At 41.9% G+C, this 23,902-nt stretch overlaps 2 long non-coding RNA genes across 2 annotated transcripts in view, besides 5 other annotated features; both read left to right on the top strand.

The window, feature by feature from the left end:
- Positions 1-6,654, top strand: part of LOC105369902 (uncharacterized) — a 39,059-nt gene extending 32,405 nt beyond the window's left edge. The window contains exons 2-3 of the long non-coding RNA XR_945203.3: positions 4,490-4,697; positions 6,568-6,654. This is a non-coding gene — a long non-coding RNA (uncharacterized LOC105369902). The remainder of the gene's footprint in view (positions 1-4,489; positions 4,698-6,567) is intronic.
- A 1,341-nt stretch (positions 6,655-7,995) lies between these two features.
- On the top strand, positions 7,996-15,555 carry LOC107984467 (uncharacterized). Its single transcript, XR_001749160.2, has 3 exons — positions 7,996-8,090; positions 11,762-12,007; positions 15,100-15,555. It is a non-coding gene; the product is annotated as an uncharacterized LOC107984467 (long non-coding RNA).
- Positions 18,568-18,717: an enhancer, noted in NCBI's record as "active region_6732". NCBI's record gives its function as "activates an Ori minimal core promoter by ATAC-STARR-seq in GM12878 lymphoblastoid cells {active_cell/tissue: GM12878}" and the evidence as "EXISTENCE:reporter gene assay evidence [ECO:0000049][PMID:35858748]".
- Positions 21,929-22,462: a transcriptional cis regulatory region, noted in NCBI's record as "candidate enhancer chr12.2880 targeted for multiplex CRISPR interference". NCBI's record gives its function as "positively regulates BTG1 gene expression with high confidence in K562 cells {active_cell/tissue: K562}" and the evidence as "EXISTENCE:mutant phenotype evidence [ECO:0000015][PMID:30612741]".
- Positions 21,929-22,500: a biological region, named in NCBI's record as "CRISPRi-validated cis-regulatory element chr12.2880". NCBI's record gives its function as "regulatory_interactions: BTG1".
- Positions 22,251-22,500: an enhancer, noted in NCBI's record as "active region_6733". NCBI's record gives its function as "activates an Ori minimal core promoter by ATAC-STARR-seq in GM12878 lymphoblastoid cells {active_cell/tissue: GM12878}" and the evidence as "EXISTENCE:reporter gene assay evidence [ECO:0000049][PMID:35858748]".
- Positions 23,093-23,542: a transcriptional cis regulatory region, noted in NCBI's record as "candidate enhancer chr12.2881 targeted for multiplex CRISPR interference". NCBI's record gives its function as "positively regulates BTG1 gene expression with high confidence in K562 cells {active_cell/tissue: K562}" and the evidence as "EXISTENCE:mutant phenotype evidence [ECO:0000015][PMID:30612741]".

Consider the following 23,902-nt stretch of genomic DNA (forward strand, 5'->3'; position numbering starts at 1 on the left):
TTTCCCACACTGTTTCCCAAATTGCAAAAATAATTACAGTAGTACTTATATTTCATTGTAGTAAGGAATACCTAAGATAATGTTTATGAATACATCTATCTCTAGTGACTAGTAAGAGGGAAAGAAGGAAAAAAGAGAGGAATGGAGGGAGGGAGGGAGGAAGGGAGGGGGGATGGAGGGAGGGAGGAAGGGAGGGGGGATGGAGGGAGGAAGGAAGGAAGGAAGGAAGAAAGGAAGGAAGGAAGGAAAGAAAGAAAGATTTGTAGAGAGGAATTAATTATATCATGACAAAAGTTGCAGATGGTACCATGACTGAAATGATCTATTTAGAAATCATTCATAGGTTTCTCCTAATTACATCTTTTGAAATTATGGGGAAAGGTACATTTTAAAAATATATTTGATGTTATGACTTTCTCTCATTCTATTTTGATACTCTTGAGGAACAGGCACTCTATGTAACTCCTATCAGGGCTTAGTCTTTGGAATTTATGGCTCTGTTGATTAAAAAAAATAGTAACTTTAAGAAGTCTCCTTTTGGGAGTCATCTATAACTTTTCTGATGCATTTTTGTGACACGTGTAGCCAAGTTGCTTCTTTACATTTGTCATCTTCCAGAACTAAACTCACATTGTGATACTGGTGTCTCGCACATGACGTCAAGGGAAGTGATTATGAAGAATATTGGGTGGAAGAAGGGAAATTGAGACAGTTTAAATGTCATTCACTAGTTCATTTATTCATTCACCAAACATTCATTGGGCATCATCCTCAGTGGTACCAGAAAGTTTATTTTATAAAGTACACTTGGTTCCTGGCCAAAGACTTTGTAATGTTGACTAGAATAGAAGGTTACATTAGTAGCCCTGGTAATACAACAAGGGAGCCTGAAGTGAAAGTTTAAATGCTGCATTTTCAGGGATTGAACATTCAAGGGTAATAAGCTGAATTGACTAAGATTGTTCTTTTGAAATGATAGCATTGACTTCTAGGTTTCTGAGTTTCCTGTTTAAAATTTATGAACAGTATTGGTTGAACTCAAGAAAGTTCTTTTAAGATCAATGAAATCCAGTGGCTCCTCTGCTCTGAGGCTGCGGATGTAGGAATGCTAAGATAAGGTGTTACCTGACAGTGACAATAACAACAATAGACAAGTAGTCACTTCCACAGCCTTGAGTTGTGTCCAGGGTGTCTGACTGTGCAGAATTTCAATAGTGTTTTCCTCCTAAGCCAGAAGCTTGGGATAAAATGGCCCCAAACCCAGCATGTAGGATCTCAGGAGCCACATTTTTCCTTTTTTCTCCACTAATGGTACTATGTGGTGCGGATAAGAGTGTTGTGTGTTGTGTGTGGTTCCATTAAACCTTCTTCCACACTTCTCTTGATGATTTGAACACATCCAGGGAGGAATGGATATGTTTGAACACCTGTTTTGCTTTTTGAATCACTACTTTATGGTGCCCTGAGGGAGGAGGGATTAATACAGTGGAAATGCCTTCCTGATCTTTCCATTTAGGTAGGACGCTGAAATAGCACCTCTAATATGCATTCAGGAATACAAGTACAAATAAAGCAAGTCCCTTCTCTCAAGGAGACTAGTGGGGGAAAACAGACAATATAGTATATGATTAAGTATAATAAAGTATTGTGTACAGGAGGGTAAGGGAATAAGAATAGATGCTGAGTGAGCCAAAGGACGAAGACATGAATTCCGTTTAAAGAAGGGACAGGGAGTTAGAAACAACTTTCAAAAGGGTTGAAATATCTATTACAGGATTCCCGCCAAATAAACAGGCTATGTAAGGTATTTAATCCTTCCATTCCAGGTTGGGAGAGAGAGAGCAGTTGCAAAATAAAGTAAGAAGTTCAGTACCTCTTTAGAAATCTTACCACTGGGAACAGGGGGTTAGCTCTGATGTATCCTGCAGAGGAGATGTTTCCCACACTGTACTTATCTATGAAGTCAGTGCACCTCTGGAGAAGATCTGAGGTTCAGAGCTGACCATAATGTAAAGGGAAGAGAAAGCTAGACACCTGATTTGAGAGACCCTCCAAAAGACCCTTCAGCCTGTATGTTAGTGTTTATTGGTGCCACTTGCCAGTGCTTTAGAATTATTCTTTCTTTCCCTTTAAAAGCCATTATTCTTTTCTTTCATTCCTGCAATAACTGGGTCATCTGTTAATAAATACAATTTTTTTGAAGCTGTTAATATTTCAGTTAACATTTGGCTGCAAGGGTAATGAAGGAGGCATGGTTAGGGACAGAGAATAAATAGAACCCACAAACATCACTGTTCTAATAGAATGGAATTGATGTGTGTGTGATGTGTTCTTTCCTGGAGTAGCCCATCTATCAATCATATTCTGGAGACTAAGTACTGCAAAAAGAGTAGAAAGAGCAAGACGAAACTTGTGAATACCATTTTTAGACTTGAAATAGTACTAACATAAAGGCAAGTTATTTTATTTTTAAGTTAACTTACAGGGGATTTAGAAGGCACCACTCAAAACTATGTAAGGAGCAGCAGGGTTTAAAAAAAGTGGTCCATAAATTCAATCTTGAAAGAAAGACTAAGGGGGCCTGAAATCCCTTTTCAAGAATGTCAGAATTTCTAAAAGATCTTGAATTAAACCAGGGGTGCCAATTCAAGTATGGTTGTCTGCAATCACTTGTTTTAATATTTAAAATGTATAACCCTCGTTTATTTTTACCTAACCTCATCAATCTGAAGCACAGAAATATTTGTACCTCCTATTTAAAATTTTGCAAAGATTATGTTGTCTATTTCCGTATTGAAAAAGAATGTGTCTGTGTGTATGAGATATTAATGCTAAAACAGAGTGCTAACAAAATGCCCTCTGTAATATCTGAATCAGTGTACCACGACAGAATTGCTTAGCTCTATAATTTTCGGACTATATGCTTCATAGTCTTTTCTTTATTCTTAAGCTCTCTCTTCAAAGTCAGCCAAGGAGACGATGAAAAATTATTTCCTAAATCACAAGATCACTTTAAAAATATCTTTTCCATATACAGTGCCATCCTTTATTCACCATGCAATATTCAATTCTGCCTCTGCTGGCCTAGGACTTCCTTAGACATTTATTGGAAATCTGCCTGAAAGAAAAGACATAAAGACTTTAACCTTGATCCACTGACAGTAAAGTCATTAACCAGCTTCTCCAAAATGAAGACTTTGTCTTTGTTTTCCCCCTTTATGCATTCTTTAGAGTCTCCTTTTACTTATTTAATTTTTTTGACACAACTCTGTTCTTTCCCTGATCATTAATTTGGGAGACTTAGCTTTTATGGGGGGAAAAATAAAATAAATTCTAAATATTGAGCATTTACTATGTGCTAGGCATTGCGCTAAGGGCTGGGGCTATAAAAATGGACAAGTCCTTATTCTTCCCTCTTTTCATCCCCACTTCCATCTAATCCCTGAATGAGGCCTGTTTAGTGTAACTCTAAAATATTTCAACTCTCTATCTGCTTTTCTCCATTTTCCTCTGCTGCCAACATCACCTTTTGCCTGGTGCACTGTAACCATGCCACAACTGCTTTCCTGTTTTTATTCTTGTCCGCTTCCAACTAATTTTCCTTCCAAAACTCAAGTGATCCTTTAACATATAAATCAAATCATGTCACACTTGTGTGAAACTTCCTTCAATGGCTTGCTATTTTGGAATAAAATCCAGGCACTTGGCCCCTGCAGGATCCTGTAGGATCTGGTTCTTGTTCCTTCTCCAACCTCTTCCCCACTCCCTGCATCACTGCAGCTGCACTTCTCTTCCTTCAGCTGCTATTTCACTTCACAGACAAGTTTCTGTAGAAAGTTCTTCCACTCAGGCGTTACTCATACACAGGGCTCCTTCTCATCCTTTGGTCTCAACTTAAATGTCCCTCTTCAGAGAGGACTTCTCAGACTGACCATTTAAAGTTGCTCCTCTCTTGTTTGTTATTGTTTCTGATCTTCTTCATAACATGAATCCAATTTAGAGTGATTATATCAGTTTACTTGTATATTGTTGGTCTTTAATACTAGAATATAGGTTTTATGAGGGCATATATTCTTTCTTATTTATTTCTGTTACAACCAGTGCCTATTTATTTATTATTTATTTATTTATTTATTTTCTCAGTCTGCTTGCTAGGGAAACAACCAGTGCTTAGAAGAGTACTAGTACCATAGTAAGTGGTCAAAAACATTTGTTGAAGGAATAGATAGAGACGTCTTCAGTGCCCTGAAGACACAGTCTTCCATAAAATGGAAGTGCTGAAGATAAGCCCAGAAGGTTGGAAAGCCATAGGAGTATGCAGCCAGGTTCTATTGTTTAAAAACTTTTTATTAAATGAAGAAAACATTCCATCCTGAATACATTTCTGTGGAGCTTTAGCATTTTTAAATAAATATTCAAATATAATATCTCATTTTATCTATATAACAATCAAAATATTTTGTTATTTTTATTGTTCTACCTCATGTAGTTGAGTGATAATTCACCTTATAGACCATTCCTGAGGTGATTGTAACACGTGGGAGAATTGAGCCTATCATGGGAATGAACACACAAGCAGTGGGTCAGTGTGAATCACCACAGAAAGCTGAGGCTGCATTTCAAACTCCAGCAACACCACAAGCTCCTGAAATGAAGACTCCCAAGTTTCCTGATTGTCTAACTGGTTAGAGTCAAAGGTAAGCACAGAATTCGAGAGATATGCAAAATCCAGATGACAGGTATCAGGCATGTTGTAAGTAAGGCCATATTTGGTAAAGAGTGAGGTGGGCTTATGCCATATAAATAAAGCTCAGGCAACATCAATAATCAGAGGAGGAATTCATACAGAAAGGAAAATAGTTTCATAAGACAACGCAATGAGGATGCCGCTCAATGTGACATTCTTCATCTGTGCATTCAGACAATAAATATGAATGATTTATTGCCTAACCATATATTATATTGAGAGCTGAGACCAGCTGGACTTCCTGGGTCGAGTGGGGACTTGGGGAACATTCCTGTCTTACAAGAGGATTGTAAAATGCACCAATCAATGCTCTGTAAAACGCACCATCCAGCACTCTGTAAAACGCACCAATCAGCAGGATTCTAAAAGTAGCCAATTGTGGGGAGGATTGAAAAAGGGGCATTCTGATAGGACAGAAATGGAACACGAGAGGGGACAATAAGGGAATAAAAGCTGGCCATCCCAGCCAGCAGTGGCAACCCGCTCAGGTCCCTTTCCATGCTGTGGAAGCTTTGTCCTTTTGCTCTTCACAATAAACCTTGCTACTGCTCACTCTTTTTGTCCGTGCCATCTTTAAGAGCTGTAACACTCACTGCAAAGGTCCGTGGCTTCATTCTTGAAGTCAGCAAGACCACGAAACCACCAGCAGGAACCAACTCCAGACACATCTTGGGGGCTCCTCTGGGATCTCACCACACGGTGAGTACCATTGGACCCCTTTCGCTGCTATTCTATCCTATTTTTCCTTAGAATTTGGGGGCTAAACAGCAGGCACCTGTCAGCCAGTTAAAAGTGACTAGTGCAGCCACTAGACTAAAGACATGGGTGTCAGGCTTTCTGGGAAAGGGCTCTCTAACAACCCCCAACTCTTCGGAGTTGGGAGCGTTGGTTTGCCTGGAACCAGCTTCCGCTTTTCCTGCACTTCCAGGCTGAGCCAAGGGTCAACAGAGAGGAGAGCCATTCAGCTCCAGGGTCCCAACAAAAAGTTGGTTGACCCTGCAGCCATGAGCAGAGCTCTCAAAGTTACGTTGCCTAAGCAAGACTTGCCCATCTATCCTATCTATCCTGATCCTTGCATCCTGGGTCCTAACACCTGTCAGACAAACTTCCTCCTACCCCTCTTCTCCAAGGATAGTCCTGCTTCTAAAAACCACTTCCTGTCCCTGGTGCTCTTCTAGTTTCTCCTGTAAGGGTGATTTCTAATACAAGTTTTGGCACTCTGTTCCCTTCCTTAGGCACCCAGGCTCACCAATCAGAAAGAGCCAAATTCTTCAATGGGAAAAAGGCACCCTGGGGCACATAAATTTTGCCCAAACCCCCGTCGTTGGGGGGACCATCTGGAATTTTAGGATCCCTCCTCAGACTAGCAGGCCTAACAAAGGCTATTCCTGAAGCTAGGACAGGGGGAGTCTCAGAAATTTTAGACTCCAAAATTGGGGGGATATCCTTCCTATTCATATGATGAGAAGTGAAGACAAAAGGCTTCACTCTTCCAACCCTGGAGATCCCGTCCCTCCCTCAGGGTATGGCCCTCCATTCCATTTTGAGGCATATCGTCTTTATAGGACAAGGGTAAGGTCTCAATACCAACAGGAGTTAGGGCTCTAACAGGTTTTCGAGAATGCATTGGTAAGGGCCACTAAATCCAAGCTTTCTCGGTCCTCTTTGTGGCCTAGGAGGAAAACAAGTGTTTCCACTGTTGCTTCAGTGAGCACAACTATTCAGAACAGCAGGGTCCAGGGACTGTCGTAGGTTCTTGGGTGGGGTGGGCAGTGGGGGTGTGGAAACAGACCAAAACTGTGGGCGTTTTTTTCTTTCAGATGGGAAACACTCAGGCATCAACGAGCTCACCCTTGAAATGCATCCTAAGCCATTGGGACTGATTTGACCCACGAACCCTGAAAAAGAAGCAGCTTTTTTTTTTCTGCACTATGGCCTGACCCCAATATTCTCTCTCTGATGGGGAAAAATGGCCACCTAAGGGAAGTATAAATTACAATACTATCCTGCAGCTTGACCTTTTCTGTAAGAAGGAAGGTAAATGGAGTGAAATACCTTATGTCAAAGCTTTCTTTTCATTGAAGGATAATCCACAACTATGCAAAGCTTGCAATCTACATTCCATAGGAGGACCTCTCAGCTTACCCCCATATCCTAGCCTCCCTACAGCTCCCCTTCCTATTAATGATAAGCCTCCTCTAACTCCCCCACCCAGAAGGAAACAAGAAAAGAAATCTCCAAGGGACCACAAACCACCGCCCCCCCCACCCCTGGGCTATTGGTTATGTCCTCTTCAAGTTGTAGGGGGAGGGGAATTTGGCCCAAGCCAGGCACATGTTCCCTTCTCCCTCTCTGATTTAAAGCAGATCAAAGTAGACCTGGGGAAGTTTTCATTTGATCCTGATAGGTATATAGACGTCCTACAGGGTCTAAGGCAAACCTTCAACCTCACTTGGAGAGATGTCAAGCTTTTGTTAGATGAAACCCTGGCCTTTAGTGAAAAGAATGCGCTTTAGCTGCAGCCTGAGAGTTTGGATATACCTGGTATCTTAGTCAAGTAAATGATAGAATGACAGTCGAAGAAAGGGACAAATTCCCTACTGGTCAGCAAGCCATCCCCAGTGTGGATCCCCACTAAGACCTAGACTCAGATCATGGGGACTGGAGTCACAAACATCTGTTGACCTGTGTTCTAGAAGGACTAAGGAGAATTAGGAAAATGCCCATGAATTATTCAATAATGTCCACTGTAACTCAGGGAAAGGAAGAAAATCCTACCACCTTCCTCAAGCAACTATGGGAGGCCTTAAGAAAATACACTGCCCTGTCACCTGCCTCCTTTGAGGGTCAATTGATCCTAAAAGATAAGTTTGTTACCCAGTCTGCTGCAGATATCAGGGGAAAGCTCCAAAAGCTAGCCCTGGGCCTTGAACAAAATTTGGAGGCATTATTAAACCTGGCAACCTCAGTTTTCTATAATAGGGACAAAGAGGAACAGGCCGAAAAGGAAAAGCAAGATAAGAGAAAGGCCACAGCCTTAGCCATGGCTCTCAGACAAACAAACCTTGGTGATTCAGAGAGGACAGAAAACGGAGCAGGCCAATCACCCAGTAGGGCTTGTTATCAGTATGGTTTGCAAGGACACTTTTAAAAAGATTGTCCAATGAGAAACAAGCCATCCCCTCACCCATGTCCAGTATGCCAAGGCAATCACTGGAAAGCACATTGCTCCAGAGGACAAAGGTTCTCTGGGCCAGAAGCCTCCAACCAGATGATCCAACAACAGGACTGAGGGTACCCAGGGTAAGCGCTAGCTCATATCATCACCCTTACTGAGCCCCAGGTAAGTTTAACCATTGAGAGCCAGGAAATTGACTTCCTCCTAGACACTGGTGTGACCTTCTCAGTGTTAATCTCCTGCCCCAGACGGCTGTCCCCAAGGTCTGTTACTATCCAAGGAATCCTGGGACAGCCTGTAACCAGGTATTTCTCCCACCTCCTCAGTTGTAATTGGGAGAGTTTGCTCTTTTCACATGCCTTTCTTGTTATGCCTGAAAGTCCCCCGTCCTTATTTGGAAGGGACATACTAGCCAAAGCTGGAGCTATTATCAATATGAATATGGGGAGCAAGTTACCCATTTATTGTCCCCTACTTGAGGAGGGAATCAACCCTGAAGTCTGGGTATTGGAAGGACAATTGGGAAGGGCAAACAATGCCCACCCAGTCCAAATCAGGCTAAAATACCTCACCACTTATCCTTATCAAAGGCAATATCCCTTAAGGCCTGAAGCTCATAAAGGATTACAGGATATTGTTAGACAATTAAAAGTTCAAGGCTTAGTAAGAAAATGCAGCAGTCCCCGCAACACCCCAATTCTAGGAGTACAAAAACCAAACAGTCAGTGGAGACTAGAGCAAGATCTTAGACTCATCAGTGAGGCTGTAATTCCTCTATATCCAGTTGTACCCAACCCCTATATCCTGCTCTCTCAAATAACAGAGGAAGCAGAATGGTTCACTGTTCTGGACCTCAAGGATGCCTTCTTCTGCATTCCCCTGCACTCTGACTCCCAGTTTCTCTTTGCCTTTGAGGATCCCACAGACCACACATCCCAGCTTACATGGACGGTCTTGCCTCAAGGGTTTGGGGATAGTCCTCATCTGTTTGGTCAGGCACTGGCCCAAGATCTAGGCCATTTCTCAAGTCCAAGCACTCTGGTCCTTCAGCATGTGGATGATTTACTTTTGGCTACCAGTTTGGAAGCCTCATGCCAGCAGGCTACTCTAGATCTTTTGAACTTTCTAGCTAATCAAGGGTACAAGGTGTCTAAATCGAAGGCCCAGCTCTGCCTATAACAAGTCAAACATCCAGGCCTAATCTTAGCCAGAGGAACCAGGGCCCTCAGCAAAGAACGAATACAGCCTATACTGGCTTGTCCTTGCCCTAAGACATTAAAACAGTTTTGGGGGATCCTTGGGATCACCGGCTTTTGCTGACTATGGACCCCTGGATACAGTGAGATGGCCAGGCCACTCTATACTCTAATCAAGGAGACCAAGAGGGCAAATACTCATCTAGTAGAATGGGAACTAGAGGCAGAAAGATGCTTCAAAACCTTAAAGCAGGCCCTAGTACAAGATCCAGCCTTAAGCCTTCCCACAGGACAAAACTTCTATTTATACATCACAGAGAGAGTGGGAATAGCTCTTGGAGTCCTTACTCAGACTCAGGGGACAACCTCACAACCAGTGGCATACCTAAGTAAGGAAATCAGTGTAGCAGCAAAAGGCTGGCCTCACTGTTTGTGGGTAGTTGCGGCAGTGGCCATTTTAGTATCAGAGGCTATCAAAACAATACAAGGAAAGGATCTCACCATCTGGACTATTCATGAGGTAAATGGCATACTAGGTGCCAAAGGAAATTTATGGCTATCAGACAACCACCTGCTTAGATACCAGGTGCTACTCCTTGAGGAACCGGTGCTTCAAATACACAGGTGTGACTTTTCTCCAGAGGATGGGGAGCCAATCAATCATGATTGCCAAGAAGTTGTAGCCCAGACTTATGCTGCCCAAAAGGATCTCTTAGATGTCCCCTTAGCTAATCCTGACCTTAACCTATATACCAATGGAAGTTCATTTGTGGAGAATGGGATACGAAGGGCAGGTTATCCCATAGTTAGTGATGTAACAGTACTTGAAAGTAAGCCTCTTCCCCCAGGGACCAGCACCCAGTTAGCAGAACTAGTGGCACTTACCTGTGCCTTAGAACTGGGAAAGGAAAAAAGAATAAATGTGTATACAGATAGCAAGAATGCTTATCTAATCCTACATGCCCATGCTGCAATATGGAAAGAAGGGGAGTGCCTAACCTCTGGGGGAACCCCCATTAAATACCACAAGGAAATTGTGGAGTTATTGCACACAGTGCAAAAACCCAAGCAGGTGGCAGTCTTACACTTCCAAAGCCATCAAAAAGTTGAAGAAGAAAAGGCAGAAAGAAACCATCAGGCAGATGCTGAGGCCAAAATTGCTGCCAGGCAGAACCTCCCATTAGAAATACCTATGGAAGGACACTTGGTATGGAACAACCCTCTCCAAGAGATTAAGCCCCAGTATTCCCCGACCGAAACAGAATGAGGACTTTCACGGGGGCATAGTTTTCTCTCCTTGGGGTGGTTAACGAAAGAAGAGGGAAAGGTACTCATACCCAAAGCCAGCCAGTAGAAAATACTTAAGACCCTCCATCAAACTTTTCATATGGGTATTGAGAACACTCATCAAATGGCCAAATCCCTATTTACAGGGCCAGATCTCCTCCAGACCATCTGACAAGTAGTCAAGGCCTGTGAGGTGTGCCAAAAGAATAATCCCTTTGTCCCTTTGGGGCCTTATGATGAACAAAGAATAGGGCACTATCCCGGAGAAGACTGGCAGTTAGACTTCACCCATATGCCTAAGTCAAGGGCATTTCAATACTTGTTTGCCTGTGTTGATACCTTTACAAATTGGATAGAAGCCTTCCTCTGCAAGACAGAGAAGGCTCAGGAAGTTGTTAAAGTCGTTTGTAATGGCACACATACTCCCTGTATGACCATTGACTCCTGGACCCCCTGCAGCAGTGCCCCCAACACTAATGAATGCCTTCTCATTCCCTCTTTCAGTTACTCTCTTGAATGGTTCCTAGTAGATACAAAATGATTTTTTCTCTAATGGGAAAATAGAACACAGGGAGTCACTCAGTTTGCTCCCAACACCCCTATCCACCCACTCACCAGAGCTACCTTGGCAAGTACTCTAGGAGTATGGGAAAATGAAAACAACAAACTCACACACCTTTTTAACATACACAACCAGTTCTGTCTACCCAGCCATGGCATATTCTTCTTATGTGGAACTTCCACCTATATCTGCCTCCCCACCAACTGGACAGGCACCTGCACCTTAATCTTCCTAAGTCCCAACATTGACATTGCCCCAGGAAATCAGACCCTATCAGTGTCCCTCAAAGCTCAAGTCTGTCAGCACAGGGCTATACAACTAATACCCCTACTTATAGGGTTAGGAATGGCCACTGCTACAGGAACCAGAATAGCCAGTTTATCTACTTCATTATCCTACTACCACACACTCTCAAAGGATTTCCCAGACAGTTTGCAAGAAAAAACAAAATCTATCCTTACTCTACAATCCCAAATAGGCTCTTTGGCAGCAGTGACTCTCCAAAATCACCGAGGCCTAGACCTCCTCACTGCTGAGAAAGGAGGACTTTGCACCTTCTTAGGGGAAGAGTGTTGCTTTTACACTAACCAGTCAGAGATAGTATGAGACGCCACCCGGCATTTACAGGAAAAGGCTTCTGAAATCAGACAATGCCTTTCAAACTCTTATACCAACCTCTGGAGTTGGGCGACATGGCTTCTCCCCTTTCTAGTTCCCATGACAGCCATCTTGTGATTACTCACTTTTGGGCCCTATATTTTTAACCTTCTTGTCAAATTTATTTCCTCCAGGATCGAGGCCATCAAGCTACAGATGGTCTTACAAATGGAACCCCAAATGAGCTCAACTCACAACTTCTACTGAGGAACCCTGAACTGACCCACTGGGCCTTTGACTGGCCTAGAGAGTTCCCCACTGGAGGACACTACAACAGCAGGGCCCCTTCTTCACACCCATCCAGCAGGAAGTAGCTAGAGTGGTCATCGCCCAGTTCCCAACAGCAGTTGAAGTGCCCTGTTTAGAGGGGACAGTGAGAGGTGAGGCCAGCTGGACTTCCTGGGTCCAGTGGGGACTTGGGGAACTTTCCTGTCTTACAAGAAGATTGTAAAACACACCAATCAGCGCTCTGTAAAACGCACGAATCAGTGCTCTATAAAACGCACCAATCGGCAGGATTCTAAAAGTAGCCAATCGTGGGGAGGATTGAAAAAAGGGTATTCTGATAGGACAGAAATGGAACATGGGAGAGGACAATAAGGGAATAAAAGCTGGTCACCCCAGCCAGCAGTGGCAACCCACTCAGGTCCCCTTCCATGCTGTGGAAGCTTTGTCCTTTCGCTCTTCACAATAAACCTTGCTACCACTCACTCTTTGGGTCTGTGCCATCTTTAAGAGCTGTAACACTCATCATGAAGGTCTGCAGCTTCATTCTTGAAGTCAGCGAGACCACAAACCCACCAGCAGGAACCAACTCCAGACACGATATGACCTATAAATCTATTAGTAAAACTTTTCTGCAAACTTGAGAGTAATTTTATGTATAACACACTAAGCCTCAGAAACTTTGAAGATATGTTCTCAGGGTTCCTTGTAACAGGCAGATCTTGAACAAAAAAAATAGTTATTTCAACTTCAAATCTGGTGCTATTGTCAATATTAGGTAGAGAGGTTAGGACTTGAATTTCCTCAGAACTTGACAATTCCTTCAAACATTTGGTGATGTAATTTTCATCCAATCTAGTGGATTAGAAATATGTTTAGAGCACCTCAATAGGATCTTTTAATTTCTGTAAATAAAGTGTGCTTTCTGAATATATTGTACTACATTAAACCATGGAGTGGAATAAAGAAGATATAAATGCACTGGGCTGGAAATGGGAAAAGAATAATTTTAGGCATTTTCCTCATTCTGTTTAAACAGACTGAAGATTCTTTTTGGCAGGAGGCCCATGTTTAACCAGTGTTACTGAATATAGAATAATCATGGGTGGGGAGTATGTTTTCCTTAATTGAGTATGTTTTCTTGAGATAAATGTGGATCTCAGGCTCCTAACTAGTCAAAGCAAAAGTTTCCAAATTGTCTGAGGTTGTGAAAGCCTAGGAGGCAAGACTTTGTGCCCATGTGAGACAAAAAACACAGAGCAAGTATGCCTACAAGGAGGTTAAACTAGCATTGACGGATTGGACCACTTTCATTCCATTCACTAACCACATCCTCCCTAGTTCCTCTCACCTAACTCCTGAACATCTCTTACCACCCTCTGTTAGGTCATGTCCCAGGGAATAATCTGCAGGAGGCTGTCCATCCAGTGCTTCCTCCACTACTGATCTCTCTTTGCTATCTGCCTCACCCAAGACCTTGTCACATGCAAGGGGTTTGTGTTTAGGCAGTTTGGCCAGATAAGAAATGGAGTGACTGGTTGAATCCTCTTTCAGGAGCCTTAAATTGTCCTTACTCTGAAGGGACTAGTCCTTGAACCAAATGGGAATAAGTTGCCCCTTCTCCTCCCTCTGTCCCTATTGAACAAAGAGAGCAAAGGAGGCCAGGATGCCCACTCTAGCACTATTCTCATATATTCAGTGAATGACTTCAGTGCCAGCTCAGCTGCCAGAGATGAAAATGACAGATGTCCTTTAAACATTAGGTTCCAGGGAATCACTTGGCACCTGAGTTGACCTTGACTCCTCACAGATGATGTATTAGTTTCCTAGGGATGCCATAGCAAATTTTATAACCAACGAGGTGGTTAAATGACAGAAATTTATTCTTTCACAGTTCAGGAAGCCAGAAGTCCAAAATTGAGGTGTCAGCAGGATTAATTTCTTCTTGGAGTCTCAGAGGGAAGATCTGTTCCATGCCTCTCTCCACACCATCCAAGCTTGCTATCAATCCTTGGTACTCCTGGCTTGTGAAGCTTAACTTCAATCTCTGCCTCCATTGTCACTGGGCCTTCTTTCTGTGTCTTCTCACCATCTACTTCTTTCTGCGCCTGTCTCTCTCTGATTCTGTGTGTCACTTCTTATAAATACACCAATTATTGGATTAGAGCCTTCTCTATTCCAATACTGCCTCAATTTAACTAATTACATCTGCAAAGACCCTATTTTCAAATAAAGTTCTGAGTGGGCATGAATTTTGCCAGAAATGATGGCAAACATTTTTTCCTGTATTCACCATTCACAACTTGCCATTGGACCACTTGACAATGCAAACTGCCTATCTAGTAATGTCAGGGCAGCTAACAAAGTATCTTTTCCCTACATATGTCAAGGCCCGAAATTTCCAGCCTCACATTTTTCCTTCTTTGGATCAGGCTTCTTTAGATGTAAAATTGCTCCCTGACTTGGTCACATGTTAAAGTGTTATTCCTTATCAATATCTTAGTTTTCACTAATGTGATGAAGCTGAAGCACTCAATCATTCAAGTGGCCCAGAAAAAAGAAAATGCTAGTCAATTTGGATAGCCAGTTACTTGGTGCCTTGCTACTCAAGGTGCAGCCAGCCCAGGGGTCATCAGCATCAGAGACTGCTAGAACTGCAGAATCTTCCCAGGGTATATGCAAACTTACTATATCAGGATCTGCATTATATCTCCATCCCCCAAGATATCCACATGCCCATTAAAGTTGAAAACTGCTGCTCTAGTAAAGCCTTTATAAAGTTGGGCTGGGGGAAAGTGTGAAGGGGGCTTTAGCTGGGATATGCATAGAGCCTAGGTCATTGGATAGGACACCAAGGCCAGTTGAGGTTCTAGAGGGTGAATAAGGGCACCCAGGAAATCTTGAGATGAAACAGAGAAAGAGAGAGAAATGTGCAACAATAACTACTTGGAAAGGACACAGTCTAGGTGCTTTATTTTGTGCAGATTGTTTCTTTTAATGTTACAACAACCCAATGAGTTGGGTGCTATAACCAGCACTATTTTACAGACAAGAATGCTTAGGCAGAGAGGTTTAGTCAATATAAGGGTGGGCATTTCAGCCTGGAGAGTAGGACCCCAGAGCCCTGTTTCTTAACCACTATGCTCTCCTGACTACCAGAGAGTACAAGTAGATGCTAAAACATAAGCAAACTAACTACTTTAACACTTAATTTTAGTTCATATGCCTGTTTGAACTTGTTTTTCAGGTCACATTATTCTGAAGAAGATATGAATAAGCCTGGCATTCATCTGTTTCCTTCATTTGAATCAAGTCAGTCAGTTGCTCATGGAACTCAACCTCGAGTCTCTCAGATCCCCAGCCCAACCATGGGCTGTGAGACCTGAGTGCCTCTTTCACATCCAACAACATATAAATGACAACGACATATGACCAGACCATCCTGAGCCTGGTGTCTCTCCTCATAGGCCTGCCTTTCATGAGCATGCCTGGGGAGAGATGACTAATGCTGTTTCTCCAGTTTTGTCCTCTTCTGGGTCATGGGAATGATTTATTCTTACTCAGCAAACCAGTAATTGTGTGTTATATGTGAGTGGTAAGATTCTTAAGGAGATGTGGAATCTGACTGCCTGATGTGATTCTCAAATGGCCCCAACATTTTACACAATTGTTTGTAATTAAATAAAACCCAAATTACATTTGGGATGAGAAATGTATTTTTTAACTTCTTTTGTGTTTGGAAGGACAAGCAATTACCATGGCTGTTTCTGATTCATTTACACTTAGCTCCTAAAAATATTGCCCTCAGGAAGGATGGCTGTTTGTTTGCCATGTCAAGAACATTTTATTTGGTTTCCTTTTAGAGAAAAAATCCACATGCAGCCAATTTTAAACTGACTAGAGTGTCTCAAAGATGTTTGGAAATTTCAAAACTCTGTTTTGCCCCAAACACCTTCACAACCTAAGTGGGGCTCTGGAGAGAGATGCAAAGGAGATGGAATGTGGAGTCTCACGAAGAGAAGGTGCAGAAATCAGAAAAATACAGTGAAACTCAGAGAAACTCATGATTTCTATTAAAATGTTTATATTTGTTCATCTTGTATTGCTATAAATAAATGCCTGAGACAGGATAACTTATAAAGAAAAGAGGTTTAACTACCTCATGGTTCCATAGGCTCTACAGGAAGCATGGCTGGGGAGGCCTCAGGAAACTTACAATCATGGAAGAAGGTGAAGGGGAAGCAGGCACATCTTCACATGGCAAGAGCAGGAGGAAGAGACGGAGGGCCAGGTGCCACACACTTTTAAACAACCAGATCTCATGAGAGCTCTATCACATTAACAATACCCAAGAGATGGTGCTAAACCATTCATTAAGTACCACCCCCATGATCCAATCACCTCCCACCAGGCCCCACCTCCAACACTGAGGATTACAATTAAACAAGAGATTTAGGTGGAGACACAGATCCAAACCATATCAATGTTCATATTTTCTGAGGACTGATTTTTAAGTTGCATCTGAATTATACTTAATTTTAGTGATTATCAGTACTCTTATCATATAATATACATATACAATTATGGACTTTTTTTAACAGACGTTAATCACTGTGCATTGGTCTTGGCCTACAGAGTACAGGAAAAAAAATAACTGCATTGATACGACATCTTACTAGTTTATTTGATCCTGACTTTGGGGTTGAAATAGGGTAACTATTATTATCCTCTTTTACAGGTGGGAAAATTGAGCCTCAGAAAGGATACGTGACTTCCCCTTGATTACACAACAAATATATAGCAAAATCAGAACTGGAAGCTAGTTGTCCTTAACTCTCAGGAGAGTTTTCTCCCCCATGGCACCCACACATTGGCAGGCAGGTTGGAAAAAGAGGCTGGAGAAACTTGAACATGTAAGATTTGTCAATGTAAAGTTATCACCTTAAATACTTAGCATTAATTAACTGAACTCATTACTGCAATAATCTATAACGCCTTCATAGAAATCTTGATGACTTGCAACAAATAAACCAACTGGGTTCTGTAATCTCTAAAATGTCAGCTGCAGTGTATTTCACAAGACAGTAAGAACTGCAGATAAATAATTGTCTGTGGCTAGATGACACCCATCAAGTTCAAAGAGGGTAGAGCTTGCAGGAAGGTAATGTTCCCTCCTCTCTAAATCTCAGAACCATGTGGTTGTTTCTCTTATTTCTTTGTTTCTTTTCTAAGCAGAGAACCTAGAACATCCTGCTATTGTGATCAAAGACTACAGCTGGTCAAGTACCTTCATTACAGATTCCCCGCTAACTTAGCATAAGGTTTTATGTTTATCCGGCTAGGAGTTAGGCTGTGGTTTTACCATTTGCTGTAGCTGTGGTATCAGGGGCTAAAATTTCCTGTGCCCTTGCTTTCGTCTCCCCTGTTGTGCTTGAATTTTCCTAGAGACTCCTGACATAGGGACTGAGGCTTGCAATTCTTTGAGCTGTAATCCCTTGTTATTTACTTGGAGCATCGTTGCTGTGTTGGTACTGTGTCGGGGGAGAGAAAGAATTCTACAGCCCTGTGATTAGATCTGTCTTTCAGTGAGCCTGAGTTGGGTATTTCCCTTTCCCAGGTCGATGAGGCCCCTGGTAAAACCCCCGTGGGATGGGTTCTTGTAAAGTATTTTCCCTTGAAGGAAATCCTTCTTAAGGAGAACAGAGAGCTCTGGGCTTATTCCAACACGGCTATTTCTCCGCCCCAACCCCTCAACCCCAAAGGGAAAGAGGAGAGGATTTTTCTTCAGGTTCCATAGTGGAAACCTGATGTTACTCCTGGAGGTACAACTCAGGAAGGTATGGGGAGGCCCCTGTGATTGGGCCCGCTGGGAGTTTTTAAGTCTCAAACTTGTCCACACACAGCTTACAGCAGTTTGTTAATTACTGCTCAGTTTCCTGGCTTCTGCTCCTGGTAAACTGAAATTCTCTGTATCCATCCGTCTGACTCCCCTGTTCTCTGGGAGGCAGTTTGGCCTGTGATCTCAATTTTCCGAAGGTTCTAAGAAGAGTTTCCAGTTTTCAGTTTGTTCAGTTTTTTTTTTTCTTTTGTAGATAAGGGTGACAACTTCCAAGCTGTTCACTTGTCAGATCTGGAAACTAGAAGAGCGCTCAGTTTTTGTATACATTTCTTTTTCCCTGGCTTCTCCTGAGCCTGAAATCTTTCCAAATGGTAGTTGTGGTCCCAAGTCCAAGAAGTGATAAGAAAAACAATGGGAATTAAGATTTTAGATAGAACAAATGGAGTGAACTGCAAGGCAGGGCCCCAACTTTGTAACTGCGTCTCTCTTCTCAAGGTGTTCTGAATCCAAACAGGTCCATTGAGGGCAGCCCTGTCCTTCCAAAGCCCACTGCTGAATTTGGGTGATGCTAGTAACACAGAACAGTCTCTTATGCTCAGGTCAGGCACATTTACACACAGGCCAATTCTTTAGGGCTGACTCTTGGAAACGCAATTGAATTGTTCTGTGTTGTAGATATTTGGGTACAAAACACATTTGCTCCACATTCTCGAGTGTGACATTCGCAGATCAGTGAGTACCAGTGAAAAGGAAGAAGCATGACACACAGAAGTTTCAGAAAAAGGATGCTGGGTTTTAGGCAAAGCAGCAGAAAGGGAGCACTACGAAAGGCCCTGAGTTTACCAACAGCCACCTAGGCCTCTACACAAAGAGCCGGGAGAGAAGAGAAAAAGAGGACAGAGTGGCAGAAAGAAGACATTCTAGTCCTCTTCAGCCTTATTTTGGTATCTAAAGGATGAAAAATGAGAGGAGTGAACCTACTTCTTTAAGGAAGTTCTTCTCAAACTTTCATTGTGCCTCCAAATCACATGGGAAACCACGTAAAAATGCACATTCAAATTCAGTGGGTTGGGTGCAGGGCTCAAGATTCTGCATTTCTTTATTTCTTTCTTTCTTTTTAATAGAAATGAGGTCTTACTGTGTTGCCCAGGCTGGTCTGGAACTCCTGAGCTTAAGCAATCCTCCCACCTTGGCCTCCCAAAGTGCTGGGATTACAGGCTTGAGCCACTGCACTCAACCAGATTCTGCATTTCTAACAAGCACTCAGGTGATGTTGACAGCACTGGTGCTCAGACCACACTTTGAGGAGCAAGGGTCTAACAGACCTTCCAAAGGGGCATTTCTTAACTCTCGCTCTATGCTCACCTCTGAAATAACAGCAGCCACAGCCACTCACTTTGTTCCCTAAAAACAGCATGTGTATTCTTAGCCCAAGGTGATCTGCCTTCTGGGACAGCTGTTGGCCTCTTCTCCATGTCTGTAAGTCCTCGGCTTTCTTTTCTAAGCCCAATCCAAGTCTCTGTCCTTCATGAAAACTCCTCCACGACTTGGGGTCTTTGTAATCAGTGGCTCCTTTGGACTTCTGTACCTTTGTTGGGCTTAGCATTTTTACAAGCATCGGTTGCTACTGACCTTTTAAATTTGTCTCCTAACTAGATTTTAAGCCTCTTGAATACAGGACACACACACACAGAGTACGCCTTGTCACTGTTTCATTCCTCAGGCCAAAAACAGAGCCCTGCTCATTAGAAGATTGTGCAGTGTAGTGAAAACAGCCCAGGGAGATATGATTTCAATTCTCAGCTCCATCACGCAACAGCTACTGGACCCTACATGGAGTATTGCTCCTTCAGTCTTCATGGTAATGGTGGTGATGGTGGTGGCGGTGGTGATGGTGATGGTGGTGGTAGTGGTGGTGGTGTGCAGGTAGAATGTTTATACTTCACAGGGTTGTTGAGAGGAATGAAGAAAATAAAGTTAGCCAAGTGGCAAACCTAGCGCCTGGCACAGAGTCAGAATCAGCCCTCAGCACATTTAAGTCTTCTCTCCTCCAATTTCTTTTGCTTTTCTCCTTAATATGGGTTGTGAGGGTACATCCTCATCCTGACAGTCTCTCCTTGAAAAATATTATATCAAGTGTGACAATATTGGAAGATTTTCTTCCATCTCATTTAAAGGGCCCACAGATATTCAAAAGAAGAGTCCCTACATCATTAAAAAAAAAATACTCAGACTCATAGCTCAGAGTAGCAACACACATATCAATTTCTGATCTGATCAGGAAAAAGGGATATTTTAAGTCAGTGTAATCAAACCACATGAAACCAATTTTCCATGTGTTTCCCAGTGTTTGCCCTTTCCATCAAAGTTTTTTCATCTGTGTGGTAACTATCAATGTACCCAGTTGTCTCGGGTTGGGGTTTATGCCTGAGCAATGGACTGCCTTATGTTCAGTGGTAAGAAACACAAATGCATAGCCACTTTGGGAAAGTAACCTGCAAAAGCAAATTGCCCTTGCTTGGGCTGGGACTCACCAACAATGTATGGGAACAAAGATTGGTATTAGGAGACCCTTTTTGGGTAAGCTGTGCCAGACAGACAGGCTTACCAGATTGCAAAGGAGATACCAGATCAATCTCCTGGCAGAGCAGAGAAGGTGAAGTGCATGTGAGATGATGGAACAAGTCTAGGTTTGGCAATCCAGACATGCGGATTTAAATGCCAGCTCCTCTCTTGTTAGCTGTGTTACCTAAGGCAAATTTCTCAACCTCTTGAACTTAATCTATAAATATGGAAATAACATTGTCTACCTTATACTATTGTTTGAGAAATTAATGGAACTATATATCTAAGTCATGTAAAGTACCAAAGAATGTACATGATTGTAAGAGGAGCCCAGTGAATGTTAGCTCCCTTCTAGCATTTCAGGAAGAGATGGCACTTGGGTGTATTGCTGCGGTGGGAAATTAGAAGGGTCTTGCTGTCCTCTGTCTAGCAACACCTGAGATTGGGTGCCTGAGAGGGAGGGAGGACTAACAGATCCAGTTTTTGATTTCTTAAAAGGTGGTATCATTGTTATCCCTCTCCCTTCTATTCTCCTCCTTATTTTTCCACTACCTCTTTTTCTTCTCCTCACCTCTCCCCCTCCTTCTTCTTCATGTTCTTGTTTTTCTTCTTCTTCCTCCTTCTCTTCCTCTTCTTCTTTTTCCCCTTCCTCTTCTTCAAATTTGATTTAAAGGTAGAATTGATTCCTTTCAACTGAAATACGTGGCTTATTTACAGCTATTAATGATATAATAAACCCAGAAAATAATTAATGATTGCTTGCAAATTGAATTGGATTATACTAAACTGTTGGTTCCTCTGCAATACAGTAGCTTTACTTGGTCTTTATGAGCAAACTGTCATATGCTAGGCTTTCTTCACAGTTTGAAGATCTCTTTTGGTATAATTTAAATTCAGTTTATGAACTCTGGGCACCACCTCCTACAAAGCAAAGGAGAATGTATCCTTGGTTGTTTTTAACTTAAGGCAAGTTCATATGGGAATTACAGAGATGAAATATGACTACCAAAGTCCTCTCAGTGACAGGGGACATGAAAGCAGCAGTTAACCATACAGGAGAGGCTTGGCAGAAGTTAGGGGAGGAGTTTTCACATTTCCTTATATTAAATTTTGTGCCAGAACCAACCATTTAGGTGACCTAGAAGTGTGCAACTAAAAATTGATACTTGTTTTTTTGTCATAAAACAATATACCCCACTGCAACAAATTCAAACAATATACTCTATTATTATTTCTTTATTTATTTCTTCTGCTGACATAAATTGTTTGGGGGCAAGCTGAGAGAGTTTTCTTCAACAGAATTTTAGTCAAAACTACATTACACCTGCTACCAAGCAAAGCACTCTCAGGCTGCAGTTTCCCTAGCTGTCATGGATAGAAACAAGGTTATCACAGTGGAAACTATGCCCTTATTCAAGAGTAATTCACTTTATAGCAGCCAAGTCTCTAACTGCAGTCCAAGGATAAAGAAATCAAGAGCAGTGATCAGATGACATCCAAGGCTTGAAGCAGCTTAAAGATCTTCCAGCAAAGTCAGACTTTCTTGGGTGACTTCTCTCAAAGTCTTGGGGATTAGCTTCCAATGTGTTTCTATGAAAGGGAAATGTTGAGAAATAAAATAAAGTGGTGAAAGGTTAGGATTAAAGAGGATTTTGTTCAATGTTGAGCCCTGTGAAAATATCACATGTTCAGATGAATTTGAAAAAGTCCAGTAGACTCTTAGATAAAAAAGAAGTATGTGTAGATAGAGGTGGCTGGTCAAATGGAAGCATTAATACTGCTGAGATAGATGGTGACTGATTAAATGGAAGCAGCCACACATCCATTCATTTCTCTGAAAATTAGCAGCTGTTGGCTGATAGACACCTTTCCTTCACATGCTCTTGCTGAAGTGATAAGAAGTGAAAAGAGCTTGAGGCAGGACTATTTTGAGTTCCAGGCGATCTGTGTTGCTATGAGATCTGAGATTAGTGGTTAAGTTGGTGCCGGATGTCATCCAGCAGCTGATCATGAAACCTCTAAAAGTTAAGTTCATTTCTCAGAAATCATCTGAGCATGTGGGCTGTTCAAGAAGGTGATTGAATTGCTGTTTCTTGGGATTTCCCCACCCTCAGTCCAAGTGAACTAAAGGGATTAATGGCCTTGATCCTGTAAGCATTTTTTTTACGCACCATGTTAAAATGTAACATGTTCTGTCCTTTTGTTCGAGGAGCCACTAATTCAATTGTTGCCCAAAACTTTATGCTGATTACTTTGTAATTATACCAAAATACCATTTTAGCTTCTTATTAACCACTGAGTTAAAAGACATTTATAGAAGCATGAGATGTCAAAGTCAGGTGAATTAGTGAAAAGTAGGCACAAAAAGTTATGGGATTCATGTAGCCTGAAATTTACATCTGTGTAAACCTTTGGCAGTTTGGCAGCTAAGTCTGCAGCCTCTGAGGGTGGTAAATGGCAGGAACTATGCCCATGTGTGAATGGTAATTTGCATTCTATAGTTAGGAGTGCCTATTTAACTGCCCCTGGCACTATGTAATTTTCTGTGCCTCAGCTTACTCTTCAGTAACATGTGGTAGTTAGTAATATAGTACCTATGCCACAGCATGTTCCTCACATGTAGTATGTGCTCAATTAATATTAACTATTAGTATTGCTACTATCGTTGTTGCTATTACTACAGAAAAGGCCCATGCATCCATCTCAAATGACTCATACCAAAGACTGACTTTAGTAAAGAAGACCAGGAAGGTTAAGGATTAGCCTTCAGAGTCAGGCTTTCATAGTCACAAAGATAGTGATTGGGGGAGTAGTGATAATGGAGGAGCTATTAAGAAGGAACACCATTCTTGATCTGAAGAGACAGTACTTAGAACAAGTATTTCAAAAAAAGAATGCTACCGTTTCCTAGGTTGGTACACTGAGGCTTCTGGGGCTGGAATCTGCTTATTTATGAGATAGATTATGAGAATCATAGGTTTGTAAGGAGCCTTCAGGGTCACCTAGTTCAGCCACTGCTAGGTGAGTTTTCTTCAATAAGAATTTTAAACCTGCCTAAAGTGTTATCTGTGGTATCCACCCGCTTCTTCTGCCTTATCTTTGGTCTCCTTTCTTGTCCTTCTCAACCCCACACAATGTGTCAGCACACACAGTGAAACTCCCTGTCCAAAAGGAGAAAAGGCTAAAGGAATTCACATTGAAACAGTTGTGCTAGGCTTCATCCCAAGAATGTGTGCTGGTGTATGTGTGTGTGTGTGTTTTTAATAACTTTTCAAAAATAGAAAAAAATTTCCTAAATATCAGCTTAGTAATTTTCCCTGACACTAGTCATTTATAATGCCAGGGAAAAGACATTTACACTAACAAATGAGTCTTGATCACTCTCCTTGTGTTCTAGGAAACTGTATTAGCCACGGTTAAGTAGTAGGAGGGCTTTGAGAATGCAGTAACTTCCATTTAGATTGAAAATACAAGATCAAATAGAATATACTAAAAGTGTATAGGCATAAGTATAACAACCTTCTCTTGGGAATATAAAACCTTATAGCAATGCAAGAAATTTGGCTTAACAATTACATTTATATAAAATTTTAAAACTTTTTGTAGAAAGTAAGATTGATATATAGTAACTGGGTGAAGTGGTGAG

Source organism: Homo sapiens, chromosome 12 (assembly GCF_000001405.40).
Source record: "Homo sapiens chromosome 12, GRCh38.p14 Primary Assembly".
NCBI lineage: Eukaryota > Metazoa > Chordata > Mammalia > Primates > Hominidae > Homo > Homo sapiens.